This window comes from Homo sapiens, chromosome 2, assembly GCF_000001405.40.
Source record: "Homo sapiens chromosome 2, GRCh38.p14 Primary Assembly".
NCBI classification, from domain to species: domain Eukaryota; kingdom Metazoa; phylum Chordata; class Mammalia; order Primates; family Hominidae; genus Homo; species Homo sapiens.
The window spans coordinates 220,076,377-220,103,811 of record NC_000002.12 but is presented as its reverse complement, the minus strand read 5'-3'; the positions used below and the strand labels follow the sequence as shown (position 1 = coordinate 220,103,811).

The window sequence follows — 27,435 nt, the reverse complement described above, 5'->3', positions numbered from 1 at the left end:
GGTATAGATCCCTCAGGAGCAGGAAGTTCAGGGTCAATAGCTCTGGAAACATGGATAAATATTTAAACCAACAGAGGAATTTTCCCCTCTGGGAAGGTGCTTAGCTTTGAGAGTGCTTAGAGTGTGCAAGAATGTGCCGATAGGAGCCCAACCTCATCCCAGGACTGATCTGGGAAGTGGAGGGTGAGAGGAGGTGGAGGGGTCTTCATCTGGGCCCCTCACCCATACCTGGGTCTTCCCTCTGGCCTCATCCAGGCTTGTCCTTCATTCTAAATAAGTCACATTCCTACAGCTCTCTCAAAAAGAGTTTAAGCACCAATGACGTCTGCCTTAGTATTAATATCCAAATTTGTAGAGCTCTGAGCCCATATCTGTTCTCACAGCACTGCAGTCTTTCCTCCAAACCTCCCTTGGTTATTTTCGGGAGGCCCTGGGGATGTTCCCGTGCTCCTGAATAAGTCTGTGGAGTTTCTTTCCTCTGGCCTCCTGGGCAAGGGCTGCGCCTCCATCTGTGTGGCTAGTAACTTCACTGAGATTCTGCAGGGCTCGTTCTATAGGGCTCACTGGGGCTACCCACATGGGAACTCCCAGTGCCAGAACTACATGGAGATCTGTGAGGAGTTTGGAGAAAAGAGCCCTGTCCCCATTTCTGTATCTCTGGGCCCTAAATTCCCCTGTGTGTATGCCCAGGATCTCACAAGTCAGCAGAGACCAGTTTGTCAGGCCCTCTATTCAGGTTATGTAGAGAGATAGCCAGTCTTCTTATCTCAGAGAATTCCCTCTCCATGGTAAAAGTCCTACTTCGCCTTCCAACCCAATACCCACCCATCCCAATAATAATTCATGTCAGATCCGCAAGCAGCAACGGTTCAAGCTGAAGCTACCCCTTCCTGTCATGCACACTCTGAGAGGTCTGAGAAAGCTGCCATTAGGGAGGCCGGAGTATTCCTGGAGGGCTTCCTGGTGGAGGTAGCAGTACTTTCAATTCTTAAAGGAAAGACCCGGACAAAAAGGTAAAATAGAACATTTCAGGCCCAAGAACCACTTGATCCTGATTTGTTCACAGGAGATCAATTGAACATACACCTTGAAACCATATGTGAGCAGGCAAAAGCAAGCCATCAGAAGAAAAAAAATAACATTCACTGTTGGAAAACCAAGGCCCTCTCCATATTGACCAGCTTTCCTCCCGCTGCCAGGGTATTTTCCTTTCCTAAGCACAATTCCATTTCCTCTTATATTTGCTCAATGCATTTTCTGACTGCACAACCCCACTCCTCTCAGAAAACACAAAAGAAAATACTGAATCTAATATAATATGTCCTCACCTCCCTTGTGGTCCCTTCACTTTTCTGCTTTGGATATCAACTTCAAATAGTGAATCAGGACGGAGAGGATACACTTTGGAATATGAAACTCTAGAAAGCTTACCCTTTGGATAGATGCAGAATCTGCCCCTCAAATCTCCTGGCCATTGGCTGTATCAGCGTCACAAGGTCCCTAGGGAGATAAGAGATAAGCCTGAACCCCAGCATGCTGACTGCAGTGCGGGTCGGGACTCCAGAGCTGAGGTTTCACAATAGCCAGGCCCTTTCTCTGGGCCCCGAACACACATTCTCACATGTTAAAGCTTCCCATGACTTTAATGCAAGTTCCATGCATGTACGGCTTGCAGGATTGGACCCTATGGGAGTGTAAAGTGACAACATAATAGAGAAAAATCACTTTAGCAGGCAACAGTGACAGCTGGGCATGCATTAAAAAAAAAAAAAAGGAAAAGGCCTCGGTTTAGACAAATTACTGAATGAAATGATCACATGAAAATCCCTTTTTACAGCTGCCACTAAGAAATCCAGAAAATATAAAACATGTGAAAAAGTAAATAAAGGAATTTTTGAACCTTTTTTTCTCATTAAAAGTGTGGTAAATAGTTAAAATCCTCTAAAAAGATCCTCGGTGTTCTGAACCATGGGCTCAAATGGAAAAATATGGCTATTTGGGCTTTTCATGTCAATTACTATACAACCGAGAAAATATAAACAATAAAAGTGCTCCAAAAATCCTGGAAAATTCCAAAGCCTATTTCAGAGTCTCCACGATTATACTCAGATCCTCTCATTTCCATGACTTTTGACATCTCATTACCCTGCATTATACTTTTACAGACTCATTTTCCAGCATATATAAAAATGACTTAATGTATCCTCAGAACCATCTCAATTACCTAATTGATGAATTCTATCAGCCACTTAAAAATAAAACAGGCATCCTTAATAAAAATCCTTAGCGAGGAAGAGAGGATAAAGCCCATGTTACAAAAAAAAAAAAAATTTAAAATATACGAGGCAGCATGATGTACCAGGGTAGCAGCACCCAACTGGGAGTTGAGAGATCTGTTTTCTGGGATTGATTCTGCCGCTAATTTGCTGTGTGATTTGGGGCGAATATGAACCCTCCTTGGGCCTTGGTTGCCAGATCTCTAAAATGAGGGAGTGTGAAAGGATGTTCTCAAGGCCGCTTCATGCGCTGACAGGCTATGATTTTGAAAGCTTCCCAGAGGAAGACCCCTTTAAACTATGTGCTCATGACCTAGTCATTTTCAAATTTAAAGACAAAAACCTTTCTAAATTCTCCCTTTTTCTGTCTACAAACTCAGTTACAAAATTAAGAGGGGCCCCAAAGAGGGCCAAATATTACAGTGATGCTCTTCTGAGCAGAACTCAATTTTATAAATTCTCAGGACTATCTCAAATGAAGTCCAAAGGTATTTTCAAAACAGAAAAGAGAATTTTGGGAATTCCTTAGTTTGCAAGATGGAGGCACCTAATCCAAGGGCCTCTATAGTACATGTTTAGCTCCAAGAGCCAGGCTAGTATTAGGAAAAAAAGTGCTTGAGCCAGCCTATAGCCTAGCAAGGGACACACACTTCAGGAAGAAAGGAAATTATGACAAGTGATTAGCATATGCATACTTAGACTGTCATAAAATTGATATACAAGAAATACATTATCCAATGTGAGGGCATTTTTAAAGCTCTTTCTTCTCCCTGAGTTTGGAGAGATGGAGAAGCAAAAGATGTGGTCAGGTAGAAACACTTTCAGCTCATTAACGTTCCCTTTCCCTAGGACCTAGGCCAGTGATTCTCAACTTTGGCTGCTCATTGGTATCACATGGGGAGCTTTTAAAAAATACTGATGGGTGCAGCAAACCAACATGGCACATGTATACCTGTGTATCAAACCTGTACTTTGTGCACATGTACCCTAGAACTTAAAGTATAATTAAAAAAAAAAAAAAGAAAAAAAATACTGATGACTGGGTTCCATCCTCAGAGATTTCAATTTAATTATTCTGGGTTGCCACCTGGAGAATTGAGATTTCTAACCACTTTCCCAGATAACTCAGTAATTTAATCAGGCAGCCAACTTTGAGAGTCCCTGGTCAAGTCCCTTGAATTCAGTGGTTCTCAAACTTTGCCAGGCATCAGAATCACCTGGAGGACTCATTAGATGATCATTGCTATGGCCCGGTGCGGTGGCTTATGCCTATAATCCCAGCACTTTGGGAGGTTAAGGCAGGCAGATCATGTGAAGCCAGGAGTTCGAGACCAGCCTGGCCAACATGGCAAAACCCAGTCTGTACTAAAAATACAAAAATTAGCCAGGCATGGTGGTGTATACCGTAATCCCAACTACTCGGGTGGCTGAGGCACAAGAATCACTTGAACCTGGAAGGTAGAGGTTGCAGTGAGCCAAGATCACATCACTGCCCTCCAGCCTGGGTAACAGAGCGAGACCTTATCTTAAAAAAAAAAAAAAAAAAAAAAGATTGCTAGATAGATCTCACCCCCAGAGTTTCTGATTAAGTAGCTATGGTGCAATGCCCCCAAACTGCATTTCTAACATGGTCCCAGGTGAGGTGCATCTGAGGGTCTGGGGCCCACACTTTAAGAAGTGGTGTCCTAATCTATCAACTTCACTCAGAGTGATGGGAGTTCTGCTCACACAATGCAATTCATCATCTTCTCTATCCTTGATCTTCTCCCAAACCACTCATCTGTGGCCAAGCCAGCCCTATTGCTATGGGCAACCTATCAAGATTCAGGACCTAGGTGTAACTAGAGAACAACAGAAAATCACTGTCTGCTTTATCCACTTTTACATGAACCAAAGGAAAGAGTTTCACTCTCCTGAGAAGATCATTCCTCATGAACATCACACGATGCAATTCTAAAGACGTAAAATAGAAGATAGCATGAGAAGAAACCCAAATGCCAGAAGCACAGCCCTTGATCAGTGGGTGAAGAAGCCTTGTTTGGCTGGAGGCCCAGAACCTCTTCCTTTTGGAACCTTCATCTGCTTAACCATGAATGATGGCTAACCTTGTCTTCTTCCATGGCCTGGGTTAACCTCTGTGCTCATAAAAACATAGTCCTGCTGTTGGGCCTGTGACTTCTTCCCAGTCACTTGAGGTCCATGCTCACCCCCATCTGCATGATGATTCCTCCTGCAGGGGACTGAACACCTGTCCCTGCTAAGCAAAGATTCAACACTAATCTAGGTCAGAGCAAGTTCAATGGTAAGTTGGGAAAGCCTTTGGTTTCAATAGCACCTTAAGAGTAGTCCTGGAGATAGCCATAAGGACTGCAGGGCTAAGACGTCAACTCTTCTTCTCCATGTGCTTCTTCATCTGTTCAACATCCCAGCCCAGGGAAGGGCAGCAGTCACGTGGAGGGTAAGGGTCTCTGCCAGTGGGAGTGTCACCCTCATTATCTGAATAAGTCACCATCCAAAGAGGATGGGCTGAACAGGGAATGCCAGGCACAAGTTGGCAGAAGTGATCTGGGGTTCATAGCAGAGGATGGGAGGCCAAAACTAGAGTCCTTATGTGAGGCAATGAGGATAACCACTCCCAGGTTCTGATCCTCCAGGTAGGGGGCTGGGAGCAGTTAAATGTGCCAGTCTAGCCTAGCTAAGCTAAGAGCTGGGCTTTTTCTGAGACTTGGCCATAAAAGTGGCTTCATATTCCTTTTCACTCTCTGCTTGGAACTGCTTGGGACTTTTCCTCCTGAGAAAGGATACTCAGTTGGCTGTCAGAAACCCACATGGGGATGTGAGAAGCAAACAAATATTTTGGATGGTAATAGAGGGCCCAGAGGTTTTTACATCTGTCTTATTTCTACCAGTGGAGATTGGAGGTAGTGGGTGTGGAGGGAACTCAGGACAGAAGCCAGGAGGGAGTGACAGAGCACATGCACTGGAAACATGGTGGAAGGTGATCGGGGATGTAGCAGGTATCATGGCTCCATGATATGAGATCAAGCATTGACCCTCTAGAGGGTCAGAGATACCCAGGGCACTGAGCTCCTAGCCACAGGAAGGATGAGAAAGAGAAAGAGAAACAAGAGGAAAAAAAGGAGCAGAAATGGAAGAAAGAGAATTATGAAAATAAAATATATACCAGAAAATCCAAATGGTCCTTTTATATTTAGATGCATTCATTATTGAGGGAAAATTTGCTACAGTGTAAGAAGACAATTGCATGGTGAGAACAAACACCAAAAACATCAATTAGCCTTTTAAAAAGCCCTTTGAGCAAGAAGCCAAAGCCCAATGGTATCTCTATCTCTCACCATCATCATTGACTCTGGTCACAAGTTAAGCATGCTGACATGATTATTCTCCAGCAAGGCCTATGGTGGCAGATATTTCAGCTTGATTGAATTGCTTTGTCCAAAAAGACATGGAACACACATTTTCTTGCCCAGTTCCTTCTGCAAACATGGTGAAGACATGTTCACAACACGGTTAAGCCTATGACATGGCGTGGAGGTCTAAATAGACTAAGTCCTGACGTTGTCCTTCCAGCCACCACTTCTAATAAACCCACTTGCAGGAAAGGATAACCCCTTCGTCCTGGGATTGACTTGATTCCCTGCCCATCACAAAGAAGAGCCTGAGACACAAGCTCACATGCCAGTGGTTTATTTTTAGAGGTGTTCCCAAGGAATAGGAGAAAGGGATTGAAGAATGAAACTGGGAAGAAAGGCAGGTCAATACATTATATCCTTGAGCTGGGCACAACTACAGAAACTAGGGCTTACTCTGTGAAGAATGTCCCTCAGAACTGTCCACCTGAGGGACAAAAGACAGTACTTAACAGCAGCGCCTGACCCCCATTGGCAAGGATCTCCCCATCAGACAATAACTCACGCACATTTCCAGGCAATACATGCCTAAATGTTGAGTGGGCTCCTAGAGTGTCCTAAACCTCATCATCAGAGAAGCTCCAGAGAAGCAAATGAGAAATGCACAGGGTATCTGGGCAAGGTTCTCTCAGGGCACACCTCCATGAAGCTGTGCCACAGCAGTATATGGTGGGCAAGGAGGAATGGGGCCAGGCATGAGGGGTGTCCTAGCCTTCACACCTCAATGGAAATGTAAGCCAATATGTTACTTCTTCCAAACATTTTTGCTTTTTTGTTGATCATTCATGTCAATTTATCCATCAGCATTTAGGACTTGGATGTAATTAGCAGCTAAAGAAGACCTCTAAGAGTCTCTGACATTAAGTGCCCCTACTCTGCTTTTAGGTATAGAGTTAATGTAAAGATATTATCAGGGTTCTGCAGTCACCAAAGTTGAGAGGTAGAGCTCATCTCACGTGAGGATGGCATTAGCTTACACTATCCACATTTGAGCAGTTGAAGCCTATACATCAAGCCTAATTGTGGATGTTGTCTTCATGCCCAGTGAGATGTGAATTTGAGTGAAGAAGTCCTGCTGATCACAAAATTCTTGTTAGCCTCAATATAAAACAATGTATCTCCATCTCGAATTAGGAGGAAAGGTCACCCATCCTCAGGTGAGTCACCCTCTCCTCAGATGCAAACTTCAGCTCTATCCTCCTCACTCCTGACTCTGCTTTGCTTTGGAGAGCCAGCAGTCATAAGCTCACCCTGGAAGAGCTCTAAAGCAGCCCAAAGACATGGGCCACTGATAAAATATTTCAAGGCATGTCAAACATTTCACAGAGTCCATATTAGATACAGCCTGATGATCAGGACAAACTCTGTAAGGCCTTGTCTTCCATTCCTACTGACACTTCTGCACTTTAGATTCCTATCAGATCATCCCTAGTCTATCCCAGTCATCCTCAAACTAGTCTCCTGCTTGCACTCTCCCCAGCATCAAACCAGCCGCATAGGGCTAATTAGTGTCCCAAAGTGCTTTTTGCAGTGTGTCAATCCCAAGTGAGTGCCTTTGGGATTATGTCATTTCCAGGTTCAAACAACATTTGGCATTCCTCATTGCAGAGAGAGTAGCAAAAATGCCTTAGTCTGGCGTTTGAGACCTCAACCTAACTTTCCAGGCTTATTTCTCTTAACTCTTGTGCACAAACCCTAGGGTTCAGACGATGAGAACTCTCCCTCGCTCTCTCTCACACACACACACACACACACACACACGCACACGCACACCTGCATACGCACTGACCACTCAGAGTCAAGCCCAGCCTGTCCTAAGCCATCACTGTGCTCCTCATCCCAGAGCCCACTTCAAGTCTTTGCCCCTGGAGTGAGTATGTGGAATCTCATTCCTAGCCCTTATTTCGGGTCCCAGCATCATGATTAGGAACACATTCATCTATGTAAATACTTGTTGACCACCTTTGCTGCACCGAGACCTCAAGATTCAAATGAGTAAGAATAGTTCCTGGCTTCGAGGAGCTCCACATCCAACTGGGGAGAGAAACATACAATCAAATAAGTGCAAGACACTGGGATGATGCTTACAGAAGAGAAACAGATGACTCCCAGGAGTGGGAAGATTAACTGAGAAAGAGAGAACTCCTGATTGAAATTCTGAAGAAAAGCAATCTCCAAACAGCCGAGGGAAGGATGGGTGTTCCGAGAAGAGGAGCGACATGAGCAAAGGTACAAACCCAAGGCCTGAAGGAGCAGAGCAGATGCAGGGAGCCACAGAAGAAAGAGCAAGGCGAAGTAGACTCACTCAAAAGGTGAGTGACACAGCAACCATGCAGACCCTGAATCCCGATTAGGAGTCTACTCTCACTCTGCAGGCAACAAGGAACCATTGGCTGAGTTTGGGGGAGTGAGGGGTGTGGGGCGGTAATCAGATTTGCATTTTAGAAATCTCATTCTAGGTGGCTGTGATACAGATGAGGTACCTAGGACAGAGGCAAAAAAGACCAGTGAGGACGTTATTGGGGGGATGCAGGTAAGAGAGAGGAGATCGTGAACCAGAACAACGGCTGAGGGAATGATCTTGAGGGGGAATGCCTTTGGACACTGTTAGGCATTGGCTAGGTTTCAGAGTGCAACTGGGCAACCTGGACAACTTATTAAGTATTCTCTGAGTTAACCAGTGGTTTGTGGTTAGGGTCAAGATACAACGCCACAGGACCCGTGTTCACAGGACATACCCAGCCTCCTTAACAACTCTCTTACAAATGACCATTTAGTCCCAGCGCATCCTTAGAGAGGTCGCTGTTTGTATTCATCAGGTACTGTCCTCTGTGCTGACAGAACACAAGATCTTTCTTCCAACATACATTTTTGTTTACTGGACTCATGATTAGCATCTCTTAATGTTGTGAAACTCAGCTGGATTTTTCATTTTATTTTTTAGTAAATGTAATTTTTTGTATTTGTTTGTGAACGGCTCTAGCAAAAAACTAAATAAAATCCTTCTGAATAGCCTTTGACAGATTGCAAACCTTGAGCAATGACCAGGACAAGAGAAGGTGGCGATGAAGAGGGGTTTCCCTGTTGGGAAACATGGAGAAGAAGGGAGTATGTTATTCCTCCCATTATCTTTCAGCTTTTGAAGGATAGGGAGGAAATAGGACATCCTCAGATGTAATGCAAAAGAAGAAATGTTTGGAGTCTAAGCTCCGTGGGGGTAAGGACTATGCTGACCAGTGTGCTCCCTTAGCAATGTGCCCAGCACATCAAAAATATTAAATATAGGCAGGGAGGGAGGAAGAAAGGGAGGGAGGAAGAAAGGGAGGGAGGAAGAAAGGGAGGGAGGAAGAAAGGGAGGGAGGGAGAAAGGGAGGGAGGAAGAAAGGGAGGGAGGGAGGAAGAAAGAGGGGAGGAAGAAAGCGGGGGAGGAAGAAAGGGAAGGAGGGAAGGACAGAAAAAGAAGAACCATTCATTGTGATCAAGGAAGAGTGTTTGACAACTCAATGACTGTCCCGTGGCTGCTGCCTATTGTCCACTCATACCCACACCTCACATCAAGCCCAGGAAAGGACACAAAGGACCAAAGCAGCTCAAAGTACATCAGAGTGTATTTAACCACTCCTGCCTCAGGGGTTCACCACTCACTCAATGGGTTACCAAGTTCTGCTTCTGAACATATAAGTCTTTTGTAAACACCACACTGCTTTACCCTCTGCCTGGAATGATCTTCCCCCAGGTCACAACTCAAATATGACCTCCTTAGAGCAACCTTGACCCATCCCCACATCTACTGTAGACCTGCAGGCATCATCATCTCCCCATCTTTTATTCTGTTCACAGTGATTATTCTGATCACTCCCCAAAATTATACTGTTTGTGTGTTAACTTGTTTATTGTCTGTTTCTTCCCGGTAAAATGTAGGTTCCAAGAGAGTAAAGATCTTATTTTCAGAGTTCATCACTGTATCTTCCAGTTAAGAACAGTTCCTGGCACATAGTATATTCTCAATGAATATTTTACTGAATGAATATCAAATCAAAAAGATGAAGACACACAGCAATAAGGGTGGATCTGTATAGTGCTTGGTGAATAAAAATACAAGGAACAGGCTGGGCATCGTGGCTCACACTGTACTTCCAGCACTTCGGGAGGCCAAGGTGGGCAGATCACTCGAGGCCAGGAGTTTGAGACTACCCTGGGTAACATGGCAAAACCCTGTCTCTACTAAAAATACAAAAATTAGCCAGGAGTAATGGTGCACGACTGTAGTCCAGCTGCTAGGGAAGCTGAGGCATGAGAATCGCTTGAACCCAGGAGGTGAAGGTTACAGTGAGCCAAGATCACACCACTGCACTCCAGCCTGGGTGATAGAAAGAGACTCAATCTGGAAAAAAAAAAAAAAAAGCAAGAAACAGAATGAGATCTATAAAAAAATCCATTTATGTAGATTAGAAATGCTGGTATGTAAGGCATTAATACATTTGCAAGGCATTAAACCATTGACTGTGTTGAGGACAGGAGAGGACTGAAACATAGGAATTTTTTAAGTGACACACATACAAGCAAGAAAGAAGTCACTACTCATCATGCATTGATTTTGATCATAGCCATGACCTGAGATATAGAAAAAAAGAAGAGGGAATATTAGAGGTACTTAATATCAGACTCACACTGGGTTACTAATTTATATATAAGTTTAGATAAATAGATGACAGATATTGGATGGTATAGATAATAAATAGAAAGATAAATAGATGAAAAGATAGATTAGCTAGACAAACAGACAATAGAGAGAGAGAGAGAGAGAGAGAGAAATAGGTAGGTAGGTAGGTAGACAGACAGACAGACTACTTGGTAAACTGTTTATGCCATGATATGGATTTGCTTCTCCTCCCTTGACATTTTGGTAGTTATAACAGAGTTCCAAATAAAATTCTTCCTCCAGGTACCATAGAGGAGAGAAAAACAAAATGCTTGAACAAGTGGGCATGAAAGTCAAGATTCTGCTCCCCAGAGAGAGCAACCCAGAGAAACCACCCTCCTAGGGGAGGAACAGAGCCTCGTCCTGCTTTGGTTCCACACCCAGATCACTGCGTGCCCTTCAGGAACTTATTCAGACCTACGTTCCTTTATTTATCAAACTGTTTCAACTGATTTCTTTTTATGGTGCCCAAATGTTAGGGAGCATTTTAGGAACATGAAACCAAAATGGTGTGCAGGGATCCCCGGGACACAGTGTTAGGAAGCGGATGGGAGCCGATGATTAGACATGATGTGCAAACCACACAGGGGTCCCTGTAAGCCACAGCTGGCTGTGTAGCATAGATACAAATAACCCCAGACTCAAAGAATGTTAGAGCAAGATGAAGTCTTTAGCAATCTAGGCAGACCCCCCTCCCCTCCTGGTTTGCACAGTCTTAGAGAAACTTGCATTTACACTGAGTAAATGGCAAAGCCAGGGTGGGAACTCTATTCTCCTGACTGCTTCTCTCCAGTGCTCATTCCTGGAGCCTGAGGATAACCCTGTGTTTCCACATAGTCCCACTGCTGATGTGCGTAACGAGGATGAGAAGCCAGTTTGCCTCGCCCGCCCCAAAGGAAGTTGTGTGCTATACTTTTGAAATACATTAAGTTTTTTTCACCTGAAGTGAGTCCTTTCCTTTTTTATCTATTTCCCAATGTTCTAGACATGCAATATTTTTACTAGTAATATATACTGGCTTATGTACAGTGACTCTCAAAATATATTTCTTGGTTCTACTTTTTGATTCTAAAAGTATTAACAAGTAAATATACATATATATGTCTACACACATATGGGCATCTATATCTATATAAATGCATATACTTTCAAATTTCCACATTTATATACAGTGCAATCAGGACTGCATTCTATAGTTATTACCGCCCCACGCTCTCAACCATCCTTATTTACTTTTGATGTAGAAAGGAAAGGAAACAAAAAGGAAACTCTCCACTCTTAAGATAACTTGCTGGTGACCCCGGGTAAATGACAGCCAAGCAAGACTTCAAGGAACTTGTTACTTACAGCTTGAATTTCAGGCAAACATCTTCCTGCATTTCTAATGAAAACCGGATTCTTCTCCCTTCTTTTGAAGTGCTCTTTGGGAATTGTTTGAGTGTTCTTTGCAATCTTTTATACCCAGCCTAAGGACTCTGACAAACTCTCTCTTTCCCTTCAAAGGCTTGTTAACTATGTGATGAATACACCTGTCACTTCCAATTCTAACCTTACTTTCTGTTGTGATGGCTGTAGAATTTGGTATCTATGGCAACTTTTCAGTGGCTCAACATCGATTAAAAAATGATTGGCTTATCAGGGTTGCTTGGTTGATTGATGGAAATGATCAGTTGCTCAAAATAATCATGACAGATAAAGTCTCCTAATTAGCTAGTATTTGCAAGATTCAGAAATTTTAGATTTCTTTTTTTTTTTTATTATTTCCATGCAAAAGTAACTGGGATCTAATTCTACTAAAGTAGTTACAAGTTAATTTGGACTGCCTCAATGAAGGGAACTTGATTCAATTCACATATTTTATTTCGCAGCCAAATGGCACATTTTGTCTATTTTAGAAAATTTACTCCTTGATTTTCTAATATCTCAAGGTCAGAGGCCAATTTATGTGTTTTAAAAAAATTAACTTTGGTACTAAAAAAAAAAAATAGCCAGGTTTAGAGCATTTGCAAATGAATTCTAAAGATTTTTATTCTAATCCTTACCCAAGTGCGTAAAACAAGGAAAGACAGTATTGTATGGGAGAAATGTTAACTACAGCCTGACCTTCCCAGGAAATTTAAATGCTTTATCTTTGAATAGAACATTTTAAATCAACATCTTCAAAAGTATAGTGATATATCAGTGATTGTATACAAGATAAATTTAGGTAGTCCACAAACTTTCTTAATAACCAAGTAGTTATTTATTTTACTGTGACACTGCTGTTGTTCAAACATTTTTTAAAAAGTGGCAACTTCATATGGTTTTGCTTAATATTTTATCTTTAAAAATAACTGTATTCACTTTCTAGGACTGCTATGAAAATGTACCACAAATTAGGCAGCTCAAATAAACAAAAATCTATTGGTTCACAGGTCTGGATGCTAAGAATTTGAAATCAAGGTGACAGCAGGCCATGCTTCCTCTGAAACCTGAAGGGGAATCTTTCCTTGTCTTTTCCAGGCTTTGGCATCTGCCTGCAATCTTTGGCATTAATTGGCTCACAGATGCGTAACTCTAAATCTCTGACTTTGTCATCACATGGCATTCTCCGTCTTCTTATAAGGGCACCAGTCACATTGGATCGGGGACCCATCCTACTTCAGTATGACCCCATCTTAACTAATTACATCTACAATGACCCTACTTCCAAATAAAGTCAAATTTGGAGGTAGTGGAGGTTAGGACTTCAACATATAAATTTTGGGGGGACACCATTCAACTAATTAACAATAACTAGCCCATTAAGTCTGTGATTTCACAGATAATATTGCTTAGTATGAGGCTAGAACGGCTTTTGTTTTTAAGTTACAGTTGATGCTTTTAAAACTAAATAGGGATGGTATGTGAACATGGCAAAATTTGTCCACATCGCACTGAGAATGACAGAAGCTGGAGGGTGAGCTTAACCGTAAAACCAGCCATAAATGATCCCCTCCCTGTTTCCTCATCCCTTTACAATGTTCCCTTGCAGCAATTCCCATCAAGAAGTGGAGTCTGTTTCTCTACCCCTTAATTCTGGCTGCCCTCATAGTTTGCTTTGGCCAGATTAGCAAGTGTGCCCTAAGGGGAAGTTTGAAAAATGCTTGCTCATTGGGCTTGCCTTCTCTCCCAGGCTGCCCTGCTGAAAGATGAGAGAGATGACACGAAGCAGAATTGAGACAACGAGCAAATGATCAGCAGCCCCTAAGCTGACCCAGCTGCAGACTCCAGACACAGACTTTTGCCCCAGACAAGACTAGCCAGCCCCGTGTCCACATATAGCAGAGCCATCTAGCTGAACCCAGCTGAAATTGTCAATCTACAGAATCTTAAGCTTAAAAAGGAAAGAAAAACGTGCGCTCTTTAAAACTACCCATCAAACTTTCTAATCAATTTTCTGCTTATTTTACCTAGTGATTACAATAGATAGCAGTTACACCAATTTTATAGGTAATTTTTTCATCAAAGTTGCTTTTAGGGTATCAGAAATGTTGGTTGGGGATGAAACACTGTATTGCTCAGGGTTCTCTTAAAGGGACAGAATTAATAGGAGATACACATATACGTGTGTGTGTGTGTGTGTGTATATATATATATATATATATATATATATATATATAAAGGGGAGTTTATTAAGTATGAACTTACATGATCACAAGGTCCCACAATAGGCTGTCTGCAAGCTGAGGGGCCAGGAGAGCCAGGCTGGGTCCCAAAACTGAAGAACTTGGAGTCCAGGGTTGAGGGCAGGAAGCATCCAGCTCGGGAGAAAGACGTTGGCTGGGAGGCTATGCCCATCTTTCCTTTTCATGTTTTTCTGCCTGCTTTATATTCGCTGGATGCAGATTAGATTGTGCCCACCAGATCAAGGGTGGATCTACTTTCCCCAGCCCACTGACTCCAATTTTAATCTCTTTAGGCAACACCCACACAGACATACCCAGGATTAATACTTTGTATCCTTCAATCCAATCAAGATGATACTCAGTATTAACCATCACAAACACTGAGATAGCTGGAAAGAAGGTGGGACGGCTGGACAAGGAAGGTATCTTGCAGCAATTCTGCTTTGAAGTCCATTTACTTTTCTCCCCTTCTCTTACTGGTCTGTGAATTCAACCAAAAATAACCTCAGAGGCAGAGAGAAAGGAGCCAGGCCTACCAGGAGCACTGCAGATGAGGCACATTTTCACCAACATCCCCTGTCTTCCTGTGAGATGTTTTCTGCCTGGTCTGATATGAGAGAAGCCAAGGAAGAGATTTCCATAAACTACAGGAGCCATTATTGGTGACCACACCATGGGGCTTTACGCTCATTTTTGATCATTTGTCCCGGAATCCACCCTGGAAGAGATGTTTGAGACCCAACTCTGAACAGCATAATGGAAAGAGAAATAGACTCCAAATTGGTTTTTCTGAGATTTTTTTTCACCCCATAAGGACCCACATTTTCTCTGATTTCCTCCCAATTGCTTTTTCATACTCTTGCCAGAGTAATCTTTCCAAAATACAAAACTGATCACGCTACCTCTGTTTAAAAACCATCCAGACACACGCCTGTAATCCCAGCACTTTGGGAGGCCGAGGCGGGCAGATCACGAGGTCAGGAGATCGAGACTATCCTTGCTAAGAGGGTGAAACCCCCTCTCTACTAAAATATACAAAAAAAATAGCCAGGCGTGGTAGCGGGCGCCTATAGTCCCAGCTACTCTGGAGGCTGAGGCAGGAGAATGGCGTGAACCCGGGAGGCGGAGCTTGCAGTGAGCTGAGATCTGAGACCGCGCCACTGCACTCCAGCCTGAGCAAGAGGAAGGGGAACATCACACACCCGGGCCTGTTGTGGGGTGGGGGGAGGGGGGAGGGACAGCATTAGGAGATATACCTAATGTAAATGATGAGTTAATGGGTGCAGCACACCAACGTGGCACATGTATACATATGTAACAAACCTGCACATTGTGCACATGTACCCTAGAACTTAAAGTATAATAAATAAATAAATAAATAAATATATATATATATATATATATATAAACCTTCCAGAATTTTCCAATTACTCTTGGAGTAGCAACCAGATTCCTTAAGATGCCTATGTGGCTATATTTGTCTGCCCCTTGTGCCATAACAAACACCACACACTGGATGGCTTAAACCACATAAATTTCTTTTCTCACAGTTCTGGAGGCTGGAAGTCCAAGATAAAGGGGCAGCAGGGTTGGTGTCTGGTGAGGGTTCTTTTCTTGGCTGGCAGATGACCAACTTCTGTGTCCTCACATAAATTCCTGTGTGTGTGTGTGTGTGTGTGTGTGTGTGTGTGTGTGCATCCAGATGTCTCTCTCTCTTCTTATAAGGACACCAGTCCTGTTGAATTAATGACCTGATGACCTCATCTAATCTTAGTTATCTCCATAAAGACCCTGTCTTCATATACAGCCACATTGAGAGGGCTTCAAGATATGAATTTGAGGGGCACATAATTCAGTCCATACAATGGCTTTGTTGGGCCTGTACTCGGACCACCTCTCCAGAACCCTCACATGCCATTAACACTTACCCTCTACCCTCCACCACTCTAGTTTGTCCCTTTCTTAAATTGCACCAGTGACTTAACAGTTGTGATTTTATTCTTATCCAGGTGATGGCTTGCCCTCATAAGAATGAAATCTCCAAGAGAGCAAAGAAGAATTATACCTGGTTTTGCTCATCAATTTATCCCCAGGTTCAGTACTTGGCATATGGGCCCTTGATAATAGTTTGTGGAACAAATGAAAAGTTTAACAAAGGGCTTAAGATGTATTGTAACCATGCAGGTCAACATGAAGATATAAAAATTTTCCTACCTAGTCACTTATTCAGGCAATCAACATTTATTCAGCACCTACTGTGTGCTAGGACCAGAGAACACAAGGATAAATAAGACAGGTAGGTATCAATGCAACCCCTCTGCAGATTATTATCTTATTGTACAATATTTCCTTTTCCCTTTATATTCAATCTTCAATCTATTTTTGACTAGGTATAAACAAAATATCAAAATGCTGAGCCCTTTTTTAATTATGTAATACTTATTTAGCTTTGCTGTTTTATTACATATACTATTTGAAAACCCTAATGTTAGAAATAAAAATTATTCCACATCATTAAAAGTTTCAAAGGCAATTATCATGTTTTCAGAGATGTGTCCTAATTGCAGTCCCAGGAAAATGACTGTCAATAAAATAAAATCTTTATGGTTTTATGGGTAGCTAAAGAGAGAAAATATAATACAAGTAAAGATTTTTAAATATAAAAATAATTGAAAGATACATACTAATTTTAAAAAGCATTCTCCAGGATTAATGTGACTATTAGATGAGTCACATTTTTTTCATAATATTATAATATGAAATGAATTAGGAGGAAGCAAAAACAAAACACATATATCAAATACACACCAATGCTTCTAAAAGCCTTGCAAAACCTAATAAATTTAATAAGGGCAGAGTTTAGGAGAATTTACTGGCCCCAAAACTTGACTTCGGGCTGGGTGTGGTGGCTCAGGCCTGTAATCCCAGTACTTTGGGAGGCCAAGGTGGGCAGATCACTTAAGCTCAAGAGTTCGAGACCAGCCTGGCCAACATGGTGAAACCCTGTCTCTACTAAAAATATAAAAATTAGCCGAGTGTGGTGGCGGGTGCCTGTAATCACAGCTACTCGGGAGGCTGTTAGGCAGGAGAATTGCTTGAACCTGGGAGGCAGAGACTGCAATGAACTGAGATTGCAAAACAAAAAACTTGACTTTGCAAATTCCTTTAAATTGAAAATTGTAGCTACAGTTTTGATGTTTATCTGAGATCTGCCAGACTCTCAGTTGGACACTTTACACATATTATTCTAATCCTCCCGGTCCGACATATAGACTAGCAATCCTCACCTCCATTTTACAGAAGGGAAAATTTTGGATCAGAAAGCTTAAAACACAAAAAGAAGTAGAGCTGGGGTTCAAGGACAACTATATTCAAGACAAGTCAAACTCCAGCCAGTCTGACCTCAGACGTTCTCTGCACAATCCCAGGCTGCCTCAAAGCTATTAAAAATAGGTTCTAGCTGACTCCCTTTGTGGAAAATCTGAGATATAAATAAGTAAATTAAATGAATTAAAGTAGGTTTTTGTCTCTATTTTGAGACTGGGAATGTGATTCCTAAATGCTTCCTGGAGCCCAGGAGAAAGCAAAAGTCCTAAAGCCATTCGTCCATCTCCATGAAGCAATTCAGACAATTTCCCCTGTAAGAGTTATTTTCACCTAGGCAGAGAGTGATACAAGCATAGCCTCAAGCAAGGCCAAATGTCTTCACCTAGGAGAGTTGGGGACTGATCTTCTCTGATGTGACATCAGGAAGGGTGAGGTCACACTGTGAATCTTTCCCCCCCCGCCTGCTACAGACCCTGGTATTTCCACAAGGAGAGCTATCCTTTTAGTTAAGCAGTATCCACCAGGAATCCTTTTAAAATGCATAGGACCCTAGTAGAATACTTAAGTCATTAATTCCTTAGCTCATTTGGTTTGAGAGCAGTTAGCCAATTGCCTGTCAGTCCTTAGAGGAAGACAAATTCAGCGTGTAATTGGCTTTCCTTTTCTTACAAAGTTGTCAGGGACCAACCCTAGCTATGATGCAAATAGATCTTCCTCATTTTGCTACCAGGAGTTCTGTATTTTGATGTTCCCTTCTGTAAAATGGGGATAAAGATAATAACCACCTCATAGGGTTGCTTCAAGGTGAAATGAATCAAGCAAGCAGCAGACACTGTTCTGCACACTAAGCAGAGTGCTGAAAACCGTGCCTGGTAGGCAGTGATCACTCAATGTACATGAGTGTTTTAACCTCCTTAGACCTTAGTTATCTCCTTTCTAAAATGAAAGTAATAATGCTGTAAATTGGAAATGCCTGGCTTTCCTTGATTTATCCAATAAATATCTATTGAGTGCCTACTATGTGACAGCCAAGATGCAACAATGACTATCATGTACCCATTTCCTGCTTTCATTGAGCTTGCACTGTAGAAGGAGAGATGGATATTATTGACAATTATGAACAGTCAGTGACAATCAGCAGACAAACATTTAGCCGCATTGTTACAAGTGCTTTGAAGAAAAAGAACTGGACCAGTGGGACTTCGGAAAGGTCTTTCTGGGGAAGTGGCCTTCAAATTAAGTTGAAGGTGAGCAGCTGGGCACATGAAGAGTTGAGGGAAGAGAGCCCCAGGCAGAGAGACCATTGTGTGTAAAGCCTTGAGACTGAAGCTGAGCATCCCAGCAATGGTGAGAAAACCAGTAGGAGTTGGGAAGAGAATGGCTGAGGGTGAGAAGAAGGTGAAGGCAAGACAAGGTCATGTGCAATCAGGGCTTAGAAGGTCATATTAAAGATTCTGAACTTTATCCTGCAAGAAATAGAAAGCTCTAGGGTTGTGAGCACAGAGGGATATGATCTGATTTTTCAACCTAACATTACTCCTACTGCTCCGGAGAGACTGGGTTAGCTGGAGAGAAGGACTCTTAGGGACAAGGAAGATGGGCTCAAAAGCCACTGTAATCACCCAAGAGAGGGATGGTGGTGGCCAGGAGTGGGGTGGTGGTAGCAGGAGTGAAGAGTGGGCACAATTGGGAATTATTTTGGAAGTGGAATCAGCAGGACAGGCACATAGAGAAAGGGCCCTGTTGTATCTCCTCCCATTTCTTCTTTGTGAACAGCCCCATCCAAATCACATGGAGTGACCAGAGTGGCCCTGGGGTCCCAGGGGAGGGACTGTGCTGTGGGACTCTAGTTCGCTCACTTCTGCAGACTACAAGGACAACTATATTCAAGACCAGCCTGGATTTGTGTTTCCAGAAACAAGGATCAGTTTTCCATGGTGAAAGGAGTTGTCTTGGGCAAAGGGACTGCAGACTACTTGGGGTCCATTCTGAGCATGCGCCAGTCTCCACTTCTAACATTATTCATCAACAGAGATCATGAACACCTAATCACAGGGAAGTGTACGAAACCTTCAGTGAGGAAGGAAAAGCAGATTCAAGCTAAGCCTCAGGACAGCAAAAAGCATTGTTCTTGTGAGAGCAAGCACATGTTGGCCTCTTCTATGGACAGAGGCAACTGTGGACAACTCATGGGGACACAGTTACCTTGGATCACTCCTCAACCACACAGCAAGAGGCCACATGGCTTGTGAATGCAGCAGAAGTGAGGTGAGCTGGCAAATGCTTTCAGGAATACCTGTTCTTACTGGCCTTAATCTTGCCTCTCATTCCCCAGAAGGTACCAATACCTCCAGAACAATTATTTTATCCTTCCCTTCTCTTTCCACCCCTCTGCTCTTTCCTATTCCCTCTTTAGATTCTTCTTTTACAGTAGTAGATTAATGTGAATCCCAAGTTTTAAGGTTTTCTTGTCAGATTGGCAGAAGTTTAAAAGACTAATAATATCAAATGCTGAAATGGATGCCAGGAAATGCAACACTATCATTCATTTAGGGAATGTGTAACTTAGTGATGCCTTTTTGAAGAACAATTTGGCAGCATCTATGAAAAATTTTAAGTGTACATCTTTTGGCTGAGCAATCCACTTTCAGGAATCATGCGCTAAAAAGTACTTGCTCATGTGCACAGAGGAGGATGTTAAAAGTTGTTTATAGCTATTTATCGTACAGTACAATATAATACAAAGCTGGAGACAATTCAAATGGCCATCAATTGAGAGCAATTTAAATAAATTGTGGTATTATGGAATACTATGAAAACAATAAAAGAGGGAATTTTGAACTTAAATGATTTCCAAGACATATTACATAAAAACAGCAAATTGCAGAGCAGTTAGAATACTGAGTGCCCATTGATTTTTTTTTTAAGAAATGTGTATAAGGAGGGATACAAGGATGTAAATGCATGAAAGGAAGCTGGAAGGCGACGCCACACTACTGGCAGTGGACATCTCTAAGGAGAGAAGCAGTGATTAAATGGGGGTAAAAGGGGGATATCCATGATCTCCCAGATATATGAAATACCTGGAACAAATTCATAGAGACAGCAAGTAGTATAAGTGGCTACCTTGAGCTGCAGGGAAGAGAGAATGGGAGTTACTGTTTAATAAGCATAGAGCTTCTGTATGGGATGATGAAAAAGATTTAGAGATGGATGGTGGCAATAGTTGCAGAACAATGTGTATGTACTTAATGCCACTGAACTGCACATTTTTAATGGTTGAAGTGGTAACTTATGTTAAGTATATTTCATCACAATAAAAAAATGATTAATACAAATAATTTCATCAGGATTTATTTCCAGTGCCGGCATCTGAAGACAAGGAAAGACTCTTCATTCCTAACTAATGGCACTTAATGCCAGGAGGTCGCCGAGGGATCAACACATAGACCTTCCACTCATCAGACTCCATAATCAGAATGCTAACAAGGTATTTATAGGCTGAGCTTCGGCCCAAACTCCCAGGCTCAAGACCCTTTGATATGGTCTGCTTTACTGATACAACCTTCCAAACCCCCTACATCAAATGGTACAAACTGAGAGACAGACTCATAACTGTCATTTAAGAAAAAACTAAAGAAAGACCACAATGATTTAACTCAGTTCTCAAATGCTCCTACTTGGAGTCTATAGCTAAGTGAATGCTCCAGCATTTTTATAGCATGCATTTGCCTCATTGCCGAGCAGTGGCTGGCTTTCTCTTTCTGTCAGCTGGCTTCTTGGAGACAAAGCCCCTAATGATAGCAAGTCATCTCTGCAAATGAGACTAGAATTAAACTACCTTGTCCCCAGACATGTCACATTTGGCATCTGCACATCATTACTCGAAGCTCATTCAACAAAGCAGAGGAATAACATTGATTATATTCAGCCAGACCACTTTGCAGAGAGAACCAAACAAACACAAAGAAACCCAAGTCTTGTAGTGTTTCACTGTTCTTCTATAGGCGTCTGTCAGAATTAAAAAGAGGAGATGTTTATGCTGGGACAGGAAGACCAGGTCAAAGGTGAAGGGAGAAAGGCTCCAGTACTTACAAAGAACCCAGGGCAGGAAGGCAAATGTCATTGATAGAAAGGCCATCATTGCCACAGGTAACCAAATATTGTCAGCCTTTGATTTTTACAGGCAGGTGATTTATGAATCATGACAAAACAGAAGGGACATACCTTGAGCTAATGCCCATTTAGATGAGAGGATAAAACCCTGGTGTTTACTCTCGGCACTCTTAATATCTCAAATGAATACTAATCGGAGATGTTTATTGAAAATGAGAACAATGCCATTTTTCTGCTGTATCTCATGTCATCTGAACGACCTTGCACTTGAGAACTGCAAGGCAGGAATTTATTCGGTCTCCAGGAAATTGTGAAAGTCTAAATTAGCAAATTTGAGCTATCCAAGCACCACTTGAAAAATATAGAACAAAGCACTGAGGAAGAAGCAAAAAATAGCGTTTGGCAGGAAAAGGGGCACAGCCGAAACTTTCTTAAAAACCTGATATTGCTTTCACAACACAAAAGAGTAAAGGAAAACTGCATTTTCTGTTAAAAATATAGGTTGACTTCAACTCCACATTATAGGATGACCTCCCCCCGACAACTGGTCCGAGAAGTACTTAGAGTTCCAGAGGCCTTAATGTGTCCCGCCCTGCCTCCCCACTCACTGCAAGAATGCCCTCCACAGCCATGCCAGGGTCTCGGAGCTCACTGCCTCACCTTGTGGGGGACCCTTCCCACTCATGAGCTCAGACGAAATCTCTCCCCTTAGAGTTTACATCCCCAGCTCCCTCCACTCGGTGCAGTGCACCAACACCAAAGTCATCTCCCTCGTATCTGTTACTGTCTTTAAAGGTAGCTCTCATTTTTCCCTTTCGCAAACACTTCTCCAGGTAAAACATCCTCCGGTGGTTGGGCAAAGTGACTTTTCCAAGCACTAGACCTCTGCCATGAAATCCTAGTCAACATTTCCACCCCTTGCAGCTGAAGAGTCTCTTTGAAGCATAAACTTAAAATAGCAAAGATCTCCCTTTCCCCCACTAATACCACCCTGAGCTGTTAATGGTCAATTACCCTTGGTATGCAGGAGAGTGCCTAAGGCAGACTTGAAGAGAAAGGTTAGAGGAGAGAGGGAGAAGAGCAATCAAATATCGGAGTCTCCTGCTAGGAGGGAGAAGCAGTGAAAATACAAAAAGGAAGAGGAAGGAATGATGAGAAATAGCCTCAATCACAATTTTACCTAAACTGGCTATGATGCATGCATGTGCATAAACACACACACACACACACACACACACACACACACACACACACACACCCCACTCATTAAGTATCCCAGACAAGCAGCCAAATAGCTCAGTACACCACCTGACATCTTCCTTCTGACCATTAACAGATCCTGCATTTCCTCCATTTTAACATCTTAATCGCTTACCCATCATCTTCTTTCCATATGGGTTTAGAGACAGTGTTTGGTTAAAGAGCTTCAATCTCTTTACGAGCAGCCCAATAAAGATAAGTGGAATTATCAAAATTCTCTGTGAACTAAAACCTCAGACTGCAGAGATTTCTCACATTGAATACTTTCTAATTGTGACCAGGAGCCAGATGGAATAACCTAATAAAAGTTCAAACCAGGGGCAGGCAAAGCTATAATGCATATGGTCAAGTGGTCTGTTCTGATATGGAAATTTCCTTGGCAGAATTGAATAGGTTCTATAGGCATTTTCCAGACTTTAATCTCTCTGGCTGATTTTTCAATTGCAAGCCTCCATCACCATCCCCCTCCCTAACCCCGAATCTGTGCTATAACCCATCAAATCAGCTAATTTTTTTTCAAGTCATTTTGTTTTTGCATTATTAGGAAAAAGCAAAGCCCACTTCTGACCGCAAATGTCAAACACAAATTCATCATTTATTTACCTTTTGTCTAATATAATTAAGATGGGAACCTTTTTTCTCTTGCATGGTGATAAGTCTTCTAAATATCTCATCACTTCAACTGGTTTTCTTATATAGCACTAAATAGCACAATGCCCCCTTCCTCAAGTAAGTGGTGATAAGGAGAATGAAAGGGGAGTATTAAAAAGGATAGAAGGAAGTCAGCTATGGATTACTCTGTCATCTCCTTTAGTAAGAAAATATTACGAATTTGTTTCACTTACATAAGCAACTTTACAAAACACTTTCATACAAATGACCTTGAGTCTCCCGACACACTGCAGAATGAGCAGAGAAGTAGTCATTATCCCCTTTTAAACACAAGAAAACTAAGGATCAGAGAAGTCGAGGAATTTTTCCTATGTCATGATGACTCTCAAACCCAAACACGTAAGTCCAACTTGTATTTGGGATCCACCTGTCACTTTTTTGAAAAACTACTAGGACACCTGCCTGGCTCTAGCTTTCTTGCAAAATTAGAGATCTCAAGAAATTCCAGAAACTCTGGCTATGCCAACTGTCCTGACTGTGCCCCTCTCCTACTACCCAAGGTCAATGCCAACACCATCAATATTTACCAAAGTGTTTCATTGTGTTCCCTTTCCCACCTCTTCATCCAACCCTCATATGGGCAAGTCACGTGACAAATCAGTTTCCACCAAAGCATTCTCAGTGAAGCTCAAGGAGATTGAGTAACTTGCCAAAGTCCCAAAACTAGTCTGTGGTGGCACCAGGATATGAATTTAAAATTGGTGTAATTCCAAGTCTTATTATAGGCATGATAAAGTGGGATTCAGGGATTCCTAGAAATCCCTGATGCTACAATTGGGAAGTTACATTCTCTGTGTACATCATACTGGAGTTGAGAATTCTCAGCATGAAAGAGTCTCATGAACTTTATAATCCTGCCATGCAAGATCCCCAGGGAGAAGTAGTTTTGCACTAGGAGTGGCCCCTGTCCCAGGTGATATACTTTGGAAACAAAGATCCCTGGGCAGAAGTAGTTTTGCACCTCGAGTGGTCCCTGTCACAGGTCCTCACTGTGAACCAAATGATTGACCCCTCCCTCCCCATGCCTACCACCCTGCCTCTCCGATGATGTGTTCAGCTTGAAGCCAGTTCATCACCAGCAGGTACAGCCTGGTATGCCCAGACTCTGCTTCGGCCAAGATCCTTCCAAAGTAGCTAGAGAAAATTAAACTTATAGCTATATCCTCAAACAAATGGAAAAAAAAATTCTAGATTACTCTATGAAAGCCCCTAATTCAGGTTAACATTGTGTTAAGCACAGATGTATGTCAAGACCTGGTGCATGACTACAACTGGATGACAATGCCAATCACCGCTTACTGCCCTCTAACTGCATGCCACACACTGTGGTAACCCCCTGAGTAACATTATCTTATTTACCCCTCATTAACCCCCAGGAGATGTATATTATTATTATCATTATTATTCCTATTGTCAGTGAGAACATCAGAGCCTATAGTGATTAAGAAATTTGCCCATGGTTAAGTAGCAGTCCAGCCAGGATTCTTACCTGCGGTATTATCATTAAATCAATTGGGCCTAGCCAATGAAAAAAACTCAAATGCTTGAGCTGGGCTGGAACAAAACATAAATATTCAAGTGCTTATTTCAAACTCCAAATCTCCCCAAAGATGCTGAGTCCTGGCAAACAGACACTGAAAACAAACTCCTTTCCAAAGTAGTTTCTGCTCTGGGGCCAACTCTAAATACCAGATAACCAGACTTTCTCTGTGTATTTTTGGAACTTTCTCAGGCATAACAGGAATGAAAACACTCATCCACTGTAGGGGGAAATGGAGATGGAGTGTGGAAGAGATGCTTAGCAAGCAGTGCTGGCGTCAGGGTGGGTAAAGAGAAGGGCAGCAGGGCTCTTCCTCCCTGTTTTGGGTGCAGTGAAACCCGCCCCAGCTGGCCCAGCCATTTCCCCAGGCTCCTTCTCTTCTTCCTCTAAACCTTTCTTAATCCTTCATTTTCTACCTCTGTCTTCTTAAAGCAATGCTCCTTTTCCCTTGACCATGACAATCGATGAACTGCAAGGAGACACAGATAGGAGGGTACCCAGAGGAGGGGGAATTGCATTCACAAGATGGGGTTGGGGTACATCTGTACTCATTTGTAAATCTCCACTAATAAAATAACAAGGCAGTGGCAGGAGACAGAAAGCCCCTCTGGCCTGGAAATATGTAGCTCTGGATTCTAATCCTGACCAACTGGGTAAAACAGCTTAAGCCTCTGTTTCTTTGACCGTAAAATGGGAGGACATGAAATTATCTTTCAAGTTCCTCCTCAATTCTGCACCCTAGAATTTCATTATGTGAACTATGACCTAAAACATTATCACAAAATAATTGGTCCTTTCTGATGAAATTATTCCTACGTGAGACCCAAACACCATTAACGACCCTCCCCCATGGTAATTGCTGATTTGGTGACTTGTTTAACTTGATCGCTATTAAATCAGGCTAGACGATTTAGGTCTTCCAAGGTGGATATTTTTTTCCTCTTGATATCCCACTTAATCAAAGGAATCCCATCATTGCCAAACTTCTGCTTTGAGTGGCAGGGACGTACCTCATGATGACGATATTTTCCCATTTGGGAAGGGTTTCCAAGCAACAAGAGTGAATCATGTTTTCCATCTGGGTGTAAAATCCACCCCTGCTGGAGAACGTTTTGGCTTTACGTTATTTCCACACTAATGTTGATTTTGTCAGACTTCTCAGGCAGAGACAGTAAAGACAAATAAGAACAAAGTTTAGGTGCTAGGCATTAAGTATTTTCCTTTCAATCCATCTTCAGGGTCAACAGCTTCTCTTCCCAGGAGGGACAAGTCGTCTCGCTTTTAGGAGCTTATCTCCCCATCCTGGGCAAAGTTACAATCTGTTAACAAAGAACTATTGTAATCAAAGGAATTTAACAGAAAGATTTCTTTTGCTGCTTGCCTGGGAAAGAAAGTTTTTCTTTCCTTAACTAGTTATTAAAGCACTTACGTTTAAACCAGGGATATTTCAATGACAACAGAATACAACCGACCTAAGCCTTTGTGAAAACTAAAATTGCCACTTGAAAATATTCTGTTAACTTTCCATTTTCTTGCATTTCCATTTTTTAAAAATATGTTGCGACATTCTCTTAGTGGCTATCTTGATTCAATTAACCGAAGGAACTGTTTTTGTTTTTTAAAGAAGGAACATGGGAACAATAATATTCTTTGAATTTAGTTGAAGGTAGCTATTTAGAATTTGCTAAATTAGACAGACTGAACGTTTCAGTTCTATTGGACGCACTCATCTGATAAGTCTGATGCATATCTCCGTCGGTTTGTGGTAAGGGCAAAAATTAAAGGCAGGTGGGGAAAGCAAACGGAGTGCCTAAGAGGCAAATCTAGAACATGTTACAACATTGTTATTATTGGCTGGAGTCAGAGCTCTGCATCTTTCCCCTGCATCAGGAGTTTGTTTGGTGACACAGAGGGAGGCCCCTTATTGGATTCATGTCGGGCTGACAGTGGGCAGAAAAGAACGGCTCAAGATGAGAGGAGGCAGAGAAAGAGCGTATCCTGGTGGCCAGAGAACAGCGTCAAAGAGAGGAGGGTTGTACAGACAAAACTTCCCGGTTTGTTTGAACACTGTAACAACCTGTGCCTTAAATATAAGAAAAGCTATCATTATTGGTGTTTAAATTAACAGCCCACCTTGAAGGTCAAAGTAATTGTTTTTCTGCTACTTGGGAGATATTTATAAAGTTGGATCCCAAGACTGAAAGGTAACTTTAGAAATTCAAAATATGATTAAAATCAGAGATTTATCCCCAAAAAGACAATTCCTTGCTCTGCTCTTGTGTTTGTTCCCTTCCTCCTTATCATCTCGTGGAAGTAAGCGGTTGGAGAAAAGAGAAAAAGGATGCAGGGAAAGGGAAAACGGATCGGTAAGTTTCGAGAGCCGACTTTCTCCTCCTCTCCATCATCAATGTCGGGAGGTATCAGCAGCTAGACTGACTACCTTGATTTTTCTGTCTTCCATACA

At 42.2% G+C, this 27,435-nt stretch overlaps 1 long non-coding RNA gene across 1 annotated transcript in view, besides 1 other annotated feature; it reads right to left on the bottom strand.

Moving 5' to 3' along the window:
• Positions 1–27,435, bottom strand: part of LOC105373893 (uncharacterized) — a 428,255-nt gene that overhangs the window by 392,155 nt on the left and 8,665 nt on the right. The gene's annotated exons all lie outside the window — the stretch shown is intronic.
• Positions 22,166–22,706: an enhancer, noted in NCBI's record as "NANOG-H3K4me1 hESC enhancer chr2:220945827-220946367 (GRCh37/hg19 assembly coordinates)". NCBI's record gives its function as "activates a minimal SCP1, AML or CMV promoter by ChIP-STARR-seq in naive H9 embryonic stem cells {active_cell/tissue: H9 hESC(naive)}" and the evidence as "EXISTENCE:reporter gene assay evidence [ECO:0000049][PMID:30033119]".